At 40.4% G+C, this 13313-nt stretch overlaps 1 protein-coding gene across 5 annotated transcripts in view; it reads right to left on the bottom strand.

Annotated features, from left to right (window-relative positions):
* SDAD1 (SDA1 domain containing 1) overlaps nt 1-13313 on the bottom strand; it is a 41031-nt gene continuing 27718 nt past the window's right edge. For all 5 annotated transcript variants that reach the window (NM_001288983.2, NM_018115.4, NM_001288984.2 and 2 more), the window contains 8 exons: nt 11297-11394; nt 11114-11190; nt 10152-10278; nt 7933-8027; nt 7604-7794; nt 7411-7495; nt 6061-6222; nt 1-883 (listed from right to left, as the gene is read on the bottom strand). In NM_001288983.2, coding sequence (NP_001275912.1) covers nt 836-883; nt 6061-6222; nt 7411-7495; nt 7604-7794; nt 7933-8027; nt 10152-10278; nt 11114-11190; nt 11297-11394 — 883 coding nt within the window. In that variant the 3' untranslated portion in view covers nt 1-835. The remainder of the gene's footprint in view (nt 884-6060; nt 6223-7410; nt 7496-7603; nt 7795-7932; nt 8028-10151; nt 10279-11113; nt 11191-11296; nt 11395-13313) is intronic.

Genomic DNA, 13313 nt, shown 5'->3' on the forward strand with positions numbered 1-13313 from the left:
TATTTGGCATTAGAAACCTTTTATTGAGACAAGGTAAACAGTGGGCTGAAAATATTACAGGCTGAAGGAAGGCTGAGGAAACCAGTATGAAGGCAGCTCAAATGATGAACTAAATATATTCCAAAGGTACTATTTATACTTAAGGCAGTTTTAAAAGTGAGGTCTTAACCAAAAAGCCTTTACATGGCATTCAAAACAAAAACAAAAACAAAAAAAACACGGGGGGGGGGGGGTCACTTAAATCTCTTGGATTGACTAAAAGAGCTAAATTATGTACCCAAAATCTGTACAGCAGGGGCCTGTTTTCAGCAGGAAAGCCTATGTACAAGTAAGAACCTCTTACTCTTGTAACATTGTCCTGTTTTGTTTTGTCTTATAAGAATATATAACTCCTATCCTCACAGAGTTAGTCCATAAGGCCTCAGTGACCTCACAGAAATATGGAGTTAACCTCTACTACAGAACTATTTACACTGCACTGTAAATACACATATGTGTGTCCACCCTCACAGCTAAGCTGTCAATGCCTTGAGTGAAGGGGTTACAGCTCATTCGTTTTGCATCTACAGTGACAATGAATAGGCACTCAATACATACTTTTTTTTGCATGAATGATAAATGAAATGATTTTACATTACCACCACTATTTACATTAACATTCCTACCATTAGCCGTCTCCAAAATAAAAACACAAAATTGCTGCCACATGTTCAGCAGTTTTCACAATACAGTGTGTCTGGACTTTTTAATGTAAACAAACATGCTTGATTTACCAATTTTCAGAGCAAGGACACAAACTTAGCATTCTTCTAGGAATGGAAAACTTGCCAGGAAGTTACTTCATTCTTTTTCTCTTTTTCAAAAGTGCATCTCGTAGTGCCAACTGTAAGATAAAAAAGTATTGAAACATGATAACTCTTGGGTACCCTATTATACGAATTTGGTTACATGAAAGTTTACTAAAAAGGAATCACCAAGTCAATACACCATCCTGAAAAACTATAAATGATAAAATATTCCAAAACAGATCACATCTGAATCGAGGATGGGGCATATTACTGCTAGGAAATATGCAAAACTCTTGACTGCTGTTCCCAACTCATGGAGGCATAAGCTCAAAACAGGAGCAGCTATGGAATGCAGAGACTACTATTTATTATCCCTGTCTCCAGGGATAATAAATAATACTTATTTGGTCTATGTGGCTCTTAATATTTTGGAGTTGTGGATGGAATACATTGTCTAAATTAAAAGTAACAGGAAAACAGATTTTTCTTCATAATCAATCACCTTTCCCAATATCACATATATTCCACTAAATATGGCATGTATGGATCACTCAAAGATTTTATAATGGCATTCAGCACTTGTGTAGATTTATGATAACTCTATCAATATAAAATCTGAAACAAAGAAAAGTGATACCTTACTAAGAAAATGTTCTAAGTATATGCTAACACTAACCCTTTATAATGGCTCAAACATGAAGATATTAACTCAGAAATTGAAGCCCTGACAATTGTAGCTTATGGCAAAATATTTATTCTAGTTAATACAGGCTCTAATTTTTAACTTGTTTAATTATTTTGTGTTGGAAGTATGTAAAGTGAACATGAAGAATGAAAGCAGTGAATTGTATATCATAATGAGACTCAGTCTAGGCTTTCATCTCCTGGAGTTTGTCTCTAACCAGAGGCTGGGTTCTTCAAGATCCCCAGGGTAGAACTGGAAGGTGAAGAATTTAACATCTAGAGAAAAAGAAGACTGAAGGATCAGTGTCTGACGCAAACCTACAAAAGCCCTTATAAAGTTTTACATGTCAAAAGAAAGCAAACATAGTATTAAAGATGATCAAAAATAAACCAAAATTAAAGTTAACCAAGACCAATGTATACATCTTAAGTTTGTGATGGATACTATTCCATTAATTCCCAAGTACTATTCTTTGTCCTAGAAACTTTTAAAAATCTCTAGCTTTTATTTAATTTTTATTTTAAAATTCTAGCTTAAATTTTAACAAGATACACCTAAAACAGTTTCGGGGTAGAAGTTACCTGGCTCTACATACAAATGTTCAAACTTTTTGGATTTTATGATTTCCAGTTGACTCTTTGCCTTTAACTCACACCTGGGTCTTGGTATGTCTTTGCAGAAAAGCAGAAGAGCTGGGATACTTAAGGCAGAACAAAAATCTGTAAGTTCATTTCAACTTAATTTGGCTAAGGAGGTATTTTCCAGATTCATCTAATTCTATCTTATTTTCCTCATCTGCAAAATTGGTTTAATCACAGTAACTGCACATACTGTTGTATACTGATTAAACAAGTTAATAAATGGAAAGCCCTGGAATAGTGAAGTCTCATGCTAAGAACTAAATGTGTTAGCTAATGTTGGTTATGGGAATTTACTTCCACTCATTAAGCTTTGTAGCAAAGCACAGCCTACTCTCACACATATTTCAGTTCCTTCCCCTTCAAATGCCACCAATTAAAGAAAAGGAACAGGTATATCCCCCTTTTCTTCTTTTATCTTTCTACAGGCTTTACTGCAAGATCCTCCTCTCCTTCCCTATCGTATGCTTTACTTCCCTCTTCTAGTCTCATCCCAGTCACCTCTTCATATTCTAACAATTTACAGTAAGACCTCATGTACACTTTCAAGCCAGGTAAGATTCCTTTATTTAAGACACTGAAATATCACCAAAGGGTAGGGGGGTGTGTGAAGTGTGATGCTCCTTTCTCACAGGGCCCTTGGGGTCACAGGGCAGTTTTGGGGATGCTCTGTAACTGTTGTGTCCAATAGGGTAGCCACTAACTACATGTGACTACTGAGCATTTGAAATGTGGCTAGTCCAAATTGAGATGTGCTGCAGTGTTAACGACATGCTGATTTCAATTAGCTCAGAAACAAAAATGTACAATATTTCACTCATAATTTTTATATGTTGAACTACATGTTGAAACAATACTATTTTAGATATACTGGGTTAAATAAGATATATTGTTACAATTTCCTCTTTTTTTACTTGTTTATTTTTAAGTGATATATGTGGTTCATATTATATTTCTATTGAACAGTACTGGTCTAAAGGGGAGAACAGAGAAAATCAGGAACTTAAAAGTTTATGTTTATAATGAAGAGATCTTGAAGAAAATACAGGGCAAAGGGACACACATAGAAATTCTGATTAATATCAGGTTCCAAATGACAAGAAAATTGGAGAACAAGAAAAAACATTCTTGAACCAACAAGTGCATATGTCCAATGAAATCTTAATTTACTCTCAAAAAGATTCTTCAATCTTTGAGAGTTATTTTATGACTCGAGGTGCTTGAAAGGAACAAAGCTGGGCTTTCCCTTCATGCCAGAAAAGGCATGCTAAAAAACAAAGGAAGTAGGGGTGGGGGGAGCCCTAACTAAAATATAACAAGCTCACAGAAACCTTATAATGAAACAAGGCCTACCAACAGGGTAATTAATACTTCCTCAACCCTGAAATGTTAGTTAAGGGCCAGTGAAGGACAGACTAATGGATTTAAGTCAATCCTATTATAATTTTAGGAGAATGTGGCAAAATTTAGAGTACTTAAAATCCTAAGTGGCACCTTTCCTTTCACCTCAGTTTCAACAGCTTCTATTAAAAATGCCGTCATTATTTAAATGATGTTGTTGAACACAGTTTAGAACTAGAAAGAGTCAACAGGGAGAGCTAAATGGTACCTTAATTCAGTGAATACTGACTTGGAACCCACAGACACAGCACTGCCCTAGAGGGCTGGCCGTTACATTCAGTGCTGGCAGGCTGATCCTTGGCTAGCTATTTAGGAACACTGATTCACAATATGAGACTGTTTAACCCAGAGCTGATATCCTGGCAATTCTTCAGAATGATATTTAGATACACTGCTACACCACAAGGAGAGAAAGATACAAAAGCATAAACTTGTTTTATCACAATGAATAACTGAAATAAATGAGCTGCCTAAGTAGCATGGGATTACCATTCAAAGGCCATGAATGGATAAAATGTAATCCCAAAGCCTGTAAACATCAGGGCTTTCAAAAGGGCACATACAGGAAGGATCATGCCAACACACTATTTATTTTGCATTGCTTTTCTGAAACTGTTTCTGAGATATCACCACACAAAATTATTGGGTTTTGAAAAGTACCCACGCCTGGGGCCAGGCGCGGTAGTAGCTCACGCCTGTAATCCCAGCACTTTGGGAGACCGAGGCAGGCAGATCACGAGGTCAGGAGATCAAGACCATCCTGGCTAACACGGTGAAACTCCGTCTCTACTAAAAATACAAAAAAATTAGCCAGGCGTGGTGGCGGGCACCTGTAGTCCCAGCTACTTGGGAGGTGGAGGCAGGAGAATGCCGTGAACCCGGGAGGCAGAGCTTGCAGTGAGCTGAGATTGCGCCACTGCACTCCAGCCTGGGTGACAGAGCGAGACTCTGTCTCAAAAAAAAAAAAAAGAGAAAAGTACCCACACCTATAATCCTAGCGCTATGGGAGGCTGAGGTGGACAGACTGCTTGAGTCCAGCAGTTTGAAACCAGACTGGGCAACATGGCAAAACCCCATCTCTACAAAAAATACAAAAATTAGCCGGGTGTGGTGGCAGACGCCTGTAGTCCCAGCTACTTGGAGGGCTGAGGTGGGAGGATCACTTGTAGGGAGACCCCCTGAATCTATTGCTACAGAATAAAAGATGAAATGCTCCTCATTATTGTAAATACAAAATTGCATGCAAGATTGTGTAAAAACAATGCCAGGTTGGGCTGCCAGAATGAGCCAACAGCACATGATGTGCTTCCCCCTGCAGAGAGCCTATGAACGGACGTGCAGTCAGGGAGGTTTCACATCACCAAGATTCCTATCCCAGAAAAGCAGATGTTCATAGCTCTGGGAATGGAATGTGACCCTTGTGGAGAGCCTATAAATGGATGCATGAGGGGCGCCTGTCCATATGGATAAGATAGGGTTATAAACGCCCTTATCTTGCCACGGCTCTTGTAGGTCTCTTCAAGAGTAAGGCATACTACCTTCTGAGAATTTGTGGTCTAACCAGTTGTCTAGCTTCACGTCCTGTTTCTATTGATTGTTTACAACCAGTTTTTGCTGCAACTGTTACTGCTGATTAATATCTTGCTAAACGTAGGTTATGGATAGACTGTGTTTCTGTTTTAAGGCTCTGTTAGAAATTGCTGATGCACACACTATATTGTAAATTCTTATCTCTGTATACTGTACTTCTGCATACCAATGTTATGTTAAAGAATTACTTCATCCCCATGTGACCATCTCACCTCATAATCAAACGACCCTAAATCCCTCACTAACCTACGCCCACTCTCACTAAACTTAATAATAAATGGTGGTATATCCAGTGCATTGGCAGCATCGCAGGACCAGAAGGCGGTGACCCCCCTGGACCCAACTTTCACTATCTTGTGTGTGTCTTTTATTTCTCCACCTGCCTTTCCACTTGGGAACAAAGAAAGAGCCCCGTTGCATTGCGGGCTGCTGGCCAGATCCCGCAATAATCACTGGAGCCTGGGAGGTCGAGGCTGCAGTGAGCCATGAGGCTGCAGTGAGTTGTGACTGCACCACTGCACTCCAGCCTGGATAGCAGAGTGAGACCCTGTCTCAGAAAACCAGGCATAAAATTGGCACTAAAAAGTTATTCAATTAATTTTGATATTATATTTCACAGATCAAATGTCAGAGAATTTTAGCATGGGAAGGAACCTCATGGATGATCTAGCTTGCATTCCTTTACTTATACTGGAGGAAAATGGATTCCCCTCTGGTCCCACAGCTGAGTCTCAATCAAGTCAGGTCTGGGATTTACATACCCTGAATCCTTCTCACCTCTCCATGCTCTCCAGCAATGCTCCCATTAATGGGAACTCTCCAACAATGCTCTCCAACAATGCTCCCAAGACACACACAATAATGCCCAGTCTTCAGAAGGCGCAAGTCCGTCTCAAATGTAAAGCTGTCTTGGAATTACAGTGCTGTTCTTGCCACCCAAGCTTCAAGTGGAACTCACCTGTTTTTCTCGGAAGGAACGCTTATTTTTTGACCGGACATTCTGGCTATACCGCATCATCATAAAGTTCTTCTGTTTTTTCTTCTCTTTATTTGTCGAACTGGAAAATGGATTTGTTTTGGTTTTCTTCCTCACAAATTCTTTTCGGTCTGTCTTTCCAGCCTACCAGAACAAAAAGTTTGATATTTCTTCTTCAACAACATACTTTAGGAGTCATCTAATCAACATTAATGTCTCCTCTGTGTCAGAAGCTCTACTAGGTGCCAAGGGCACAGAATGGACAGGACACAGTCTTTGCTCCTTGGGACCAAGAAATGGCCATACAGTATTATAACAGAGCAAGGGGAGCTCGGTGGAAGAAAAGTCATAATTTAGCCTGGTGAGGTCAGGGGAACTTCCTAGAAAGGGAGACAGGTAGACTGTTTTTTTTTTGTTTTTTTTTTTTTTGCAGGATGAAGGCATTCATGGTAAGGGAAAGGAGGGGAAAGACAGAGCATTTCCGGAAGAAGGGACAGTGCACACAAAGGTGTGGAGGAGAAAGGACACATGGAAGACAGAGGATGAGGTGGAACTAGGAGGGGACAGTGTCTCAAACAAGTGGAGATACAGAAAATGATGTTGGAAATGTAGGCAGGACACAGACATGAGCAGCCACAGCACTAGCCACAGGCAGACTCCAACTGGCTCTGGCTTTTCACTGGTGACTGTAAACACATTCCTACTTTTCTCTTAGCTTTGATAAATATAGTGGCTTCCTGACAATACAGACATGTAATACTGCCTTCCTGTGCTCTCTACCTTGTTTTGAGTGGTGGTTACATGGCTATATACAGTTGTCAAAACTCATCTAACTGGCTGGGCGCAATGGCTCATGCCTATACTCCCAGCACTTTGGGAGGCTGAGGCGGGTGGATCGCATGAGGCCAGGAGTTTGAGACCAGCCTGGCCAACATGGCGAAACCTTGACTCTACTAAAAATACAAAAATTAGCTGGGCGTGGTAGCAGACACCTGTTACCCCAGCTACTTAGGAGGCTGAAGCAGGAGAATCGCTTGAACCTAGGAGGCAGAGGTTGCAGTGAGCTGAGATTGTGCCACTGCACTACAGCCTGGGTGACAGAGAGAGACTGTCGCAAAAAACAAACAAACAAACATACTAACAAAAGCAAACCCAAACAAAACCCCTCATCTAACTGAACATCTAATATCTGTGCATTTTAATTTCTGTGTTAATTATACCTTTATTTAAAACATTTTTAAAAATTGCCATTCTGTGGCTATACAAGTTCTGGCTTATGTTTCATTTTATTTGCTTTCTGTTTAAAAAACTAGGAATGATATGCTCACTCACCATTGCAGTTGCTAGTCTTGTCTCTTTGTCAGACTTTGGCTTTTTATGAAGGCGTTCAATGTCCCGAAGAGAAAGTAATTCACCCCTGGGGTGAGGGAAAAATAACACATGAAACAAGAATGGAATTCTGTTTCCTGATGCTTTCATTACCACATGAGCTGACTGAAGTACTAAAGTGGATGTGCCATTTTACCTGGGCTCTTCATCACTGTCTATTTCAATGTATTTCCTCTTCTGGGATTTCCCGGGGGCAGCATCAAGTTCTTTTCTCATTTGGGCCATGCGGATTTTCTGGAAGTCTTCCTGAGTTAAAACTCGGCTAGTGCTGATGGCTGCAGCTTTGGCCTTCCGCTCCTCCATGGGCATGCTGTTCAGCTTCTTGGACTTGAAACCACACAAGGGCTTAAATGGCTACCAGCTCAAGTGAGAGCTCAGCCATTTAAATTGTAGCCTCCCAACAAGGCCCAGAATAAATTACGTCTTAATAAACACCAGGTTATAAGATGAAATTTTCAGACTTACGATTTCTTGCTGTTCTTCATCGGAAGAGTGTTGCACATCAATCCATTCACCATCAGCATCCTCCTCCTCACTGAGACTGGTACTTTCCCATCCATCTGCGTGAAAAAAGCAAACCCACTACTGCCATTTTATGTTGCACATTCAACATAAAGTTGAGATGAAGCAAGCAACAGAAAAGTAATGAACCTTGAACAGATACATTATTAACCAAGAACTGAGCAATATTTATTGTTAAATAAACAATGTGCCTTTAGTTAATCTAAGGAATAGGAAATAGGCACTGATCAAGTATCTACCATGAGTCAAAACCTTACAATCACTCTCTCTAACCCTCATAACTCCAAAGAAAAGGAACAGATGCTCAGAGTTTAGTAATGTGCCCCAAGCCACACCGCTAAAAAGGCATCCTACACTGAAATCATGAAAATCATGTCTACCTTTAGGGTCATGTTCTTTCAACTAAACCAACTGTGTCCATCAAAACTGCACTTGTACATTTATCCTGGCCACGCAGCAGGCATCTAATTTGTCCTATGCGTGTTACCCACGTATGAGAATCTAGTTAGTCATTCAGACAACTGAGGTAGAATATTTGGGATGTTAAAGAATCCTGAAGACACCTCAATAAAAAGGTATCAGGCTTCTTAATGGAGCCACCACAGTTTAAATTTTCTAAATCACAGACACTGCAATCTTTCCATGACTCCCTATGATCTTTAAGAGAACGTGCCAGCTCTTTTGTCTGGCATATACATAACCAAGTATGAAAAGGTCACCAAACTCTATCTCAAGCCTCCTGTCTTTCTATGTTCCATCTTGTATCCTACATTCTAATAGTTAGTTCCCTAAATCCTTCAAGACTTTGCTCACACTTTGCCTGGAAAGTCTCTGCTATTCTAGCATTCCTTGCCAAATACCTGGCTCATCAGTCACCATCTCTCCAAAGCCCTTTAAAAAAAAAAAAAAAAAGGCCGGGTGCAGTGGCTCACGCCTGTAATCCCAGCCCTTTGGGAGGCTGAGGCGGGCGGATCACAAGGTCAGGAGATTGAGACCATCCTAGCTAAAACGGTGAAACCCCGTCTCTACTAAAAAATACAAAAAATTAGCTAGGTGTGGTGGCGGGCGCCTGTAGTCCCAGCTATTCGGGAGGCTGAGGTAGGAGAATGGCGTGAACCCAGGAGGTGGAGCTTGCCGTGAGCCGAGATCACGCCACTGTACTCCAGCCTGGGCGACACAGCAAGACTCTGTCTCAAAAAAAAAAAAAAAAAAAAAAAAAAAAAAACCTAAAAAAAAACTTCCGAGGTGGACCTGACTGCTCTCCTGCCCTTATGCCCCCACCCACTCCAATCATAAATCCTGTTAACACTTCATTCTTCAGCCCTTTGGAAGCCCTCTAGAGCAGAAATAATACCATTCATCTTTGCATTGGCAGTGGCTGGCTCACAACAAATGCTTAAGAGGGCTTTGATCAAATAGGCTGGGTGCACTGGCTCACGCCTGTAATCCCAGCACTTTGGGAGGCCAAAATGGGAGGATCACCTGAGGTTAGGGGTTCAAGACCAGCCTGGCCAACATGGTGAAACCCTATCTCTACTAAAAATAAAAAAATAAGTCAGGCATGGCTGCACACGCCTGTAATCCCAGCTACTCAAGATGCCGAGGCAGGAGGATCGCTTGAACCTGGGAGATGGAGGTTGCAGTGAGCTGAGATCGTACCACTGCACTCCAGCCTGGGCAAGAGCGAGACTCCAACGTGAGGAAAAAAAAAAAAGATTTGCTGAATAATGAATGAATGGACAGGAAGAATACACGACTCTGGAAATTAGAATGGAGTTCCTCGAGTATTTGCCCACAAATTCAACATGCATTCTCCTTCAACAAGGAGAATTTTGGGGGATTCCTCTAAGGGCTAACCCCCGTAATTTTTTCTAGGCAACAAACACAAGATCATTGTCTTTCTCAAGCACCAAACAGCATGCCCTTGGATGAGCGGCAGCCACCCCGAAGGTCATGAAAAGGCATTTCCTATGCTAGAACATAAGTTCCGCAAGAGGAGGAACCATGCTCAATTGATCCCCCATACTTCTAACAGTGCGTGGCACATAGTCATTGCTCAATAAATATCTGCTGAATGAATGTTCAAATAGTATACAATTTAAAGGTCTGCACAGATACTGCAGGAGTGTTTTGCCCAAAATAAGGGTGAAATAAAAATCAACCTTCATCATTTTCAGCATTCTCTTCTTTCTCAACTTCCAGAACTTCTGCTCCTGGAATGTAATCTTTAGCATCTAATTCTCCATATTCTTGTACTCTTGCTTCTATGGAGGCCTCTGTAGGCTTACCCTAAAGGAAAAGAAATTGTTTGTAATAAGTTGCTTAGATCATAAAACCTTAATCATGAAAGGTAGTCTCTGAAATTATGAATTTATTTTATTTATTTATTTGAAGACAGGGTCTTGCTCTGTTGCCCAGACTGGAGTGCAGTGGTACAATCTCAGCTCACTACAACCTCCGCCTCCTGGGCTCAAGGGATCCACCCACCTCAGCCTCCCTAGTAGTTGGGACTACAGGCACGCACCACCACACCCAGCTAACAAAATTATGAATTTAAAAGGGAGCACTATAAAAAATGCTGGTAACCAAATGACAGCAACAGTTTGCTTATGTCTCAGGTCAAAATAAATCCCCAGCCAGCAATCTGTCCACTATTTTCTTGTTGTGTTTTGATCTAGATCAAGACACTGGTAGTTATTAGAGAGTAACTGCTCTAATTTTTTAAGTCTTGAAAAACGTCATCTCTCTTTCTGTTACATACATGCATCCCTCCTCCCTTCCAACTTGAAAGAGGTAGTATCTGGCTGTGCAATAGCCTGTTCACAAAACTGGCATCAGCTACTGACTGATCTTTGAGATTCCGATCTGTTAATAACATTAAAAGCTTTCAAGCTGAAACAGCCTGATAGGTCTTCAAGACACAGTCATCATCAATGAATATGTGCCAACTATAAAATATTCAGGGCCATGGTATTTGATTCCAAGCTTAAAGAATACAACCGTGTGCATCATAACCATGTAATCATAACAGAAGCATCATAAGTACTAAAATCCTAATTGTAGGAAATTTCTCTCAGTTTGTGAGACCATAACCTTTAGACCAACATAAGTGTGCTTTACCTACCCGGAATTTCTTCTGCAGCATCTGAGGATTCAGTGTTCGGAAGAGGTGAATCAAAGTTCTAGCAGACATCATTACATCTGTAAAATAATACTTTTAATTAGAAATTCTGGCCCATAGAGTACAATGAGGTAAAAAGGAGTCACACTGTACTCTTTGGTGTGTAGAGAGTAACATGCAGCTTACTCTTATCCTTGTGTGTTTTATACTGAGCCAGGTCTTGGAGAAGTTCTTCAGTCATGGCCAGAGGACATCGAGCTGTTATCTCCTTTATAGCATTGATTCTAGAAAAAGAAAAACAAAGTTTAAAAGAGCCCGAATAGCAATTTTTTCATGATTCAACACAGGAAGACTTCCTAAAAAGATTAACTCAAAAGGAAAACACGTTGAGTTTTATATAGCTTAGGTCTCCAAAACTGCAGCATGTTAGAGAATGTCAGGTAGGCAGCCTTAGAGGGCTTTTATTCCAGTTACTGCCATTTCCTCTACTGGTGGAATAAGGAACAGTGTCCGGCACACTAAATCAGAGAAGCATTTACTTGCCAACTCTAAGAAGAGATGGGACTAGCTCAAATAAGAAAGGTTAAAGTCTTTAGGGCTATTATCCTGCAATATTTTCCAAGGAAAATAAAAAGCTGCTGTTCAGCATATCACTTACTTATCAGGACAGATTAGACAATCCTTAAACCAGTGATTATACTCATTAAGTGTTTTTTAATCAACCAAAAGGGCTACTAAATTGCCCTAGGAAAAAAGAGTGCTTCAATAATAAATCACTCGTTCCAGGGTTCTATGGTTTGAATGTTCCCTCTAAAACTCATGTCGAAACTTAATTGCCACTGTAATGGTTTAAAGAGGAGAGACTTTTTTTTCACTGTTTTATTATTATTATGCTTTAAGTTATAGGGTACATGTGCACAACGTGCAGGTTTGTTACATATGTATACATGTGTCATGTTGGTGTGCTGCACCCATTAACTCGTCATTAACATTGGGTATATCTCCTAATGCTATCCCTCCCCACTACCGCCACCCCACGACAGGCCCCGGTGTGTGATGTTCCCCATCCTGTGTCCAAGTGTTCTCATTGTTCAATTCCCACCTGTGAGTGAGAACATGTGGTGTTTGGTTTTCTGTCCTTGCGATAGTTTGCTAAGAATGATGGTTTCCAGCTTCATCCATGTCCCTGCAAAGGACATGAACTCATCCTTTTTTATGGCTGCATAGTATTCCATAGCGTATATGTGCCACATTTTCTTAATCCAGTCTATCATTGTTGGACATTTGGGTTGGTTCCAAGTCTTTGCTATTGTGAATAGTGCTGCAATAAACATATGTGTGCATGTGTCTTTACATCAGCATGATTTATAATCCTTCGGGTATATACCCAGTTATGGGATGGCTGGGTCAAATGGTATTTCTAGTTCTAGATCCTTGAGGAATAGCCACACTGTCTTCCACAATGGTTGAACTAGTTTACAGTCCCATCAACAGTGTAAAAGTGTTCCTATTTCTCCACATCCTCTCCAGCACCTATCGTTTCCTGACTTTTTAATGATCGCCATTCTAACTGGTATGAGATGGTATCTCATTGTGGTTTTGATTTGCATTTCTCTGATGGCCAGTGATGATAAGCATTTTTTAATGTGCCTTTAGGCTACATAAATGTCTTCTTTTGAGAAGCATCTGTTCATATCCTTTGCCCACTTGTTGATGGGGTTTTTTTCTTGTAAATTTGTTTAAGGTCTTTGTAGATTCTGGATATTAGCCCTTTGTCAGATGGGTAGATTGCAAAAATTTTCTCCCATTCTGTAGGTTGCCTGTTCACTCTGATGGTAGTTTCTTTTGCTGTGCAGAAGCTCTTTAGTTTAACTAGATCCCACCTGTCAATTTTGGCTTTTGTTGCCATTGCTTTTGGTGTTTTAGATATGAAGTCCTTGTCCATGCCTATGTCCTGAATGGTATTGCCTAGGTTTTCTTCTAGGGTTTTTATGGTTTTAGGCCTAACATTTAAGTCTTTAATCCATCTTGAATTAATTTTTGTATAAGGTGTCAGGAAGGGATCCAGTTTCAGCTTTCTGCATATGCTAGCCAGTTTTCCCAGCACCATTTATTAAATAGGGAATCCTTTCCCTATTTCTTGTTTTTGTCAGGTTTGTCAAAGAACAGATGGTTATAGATGTGTGGTATTATATCTGAGGGC

This window comes from Homo sapiens, chromosome 4, assembly GCF_000001405.40.
Source record: "Homo sapiens chromosome 4, GRCh38.p14 Primary Assembly".
In the NCBI taxonomy this organism is placed as follows: Eukaryota; Metazoa; Chordata; class Mammalia; order Primates; family Hominidae; genus Homo; species Homo sapiens.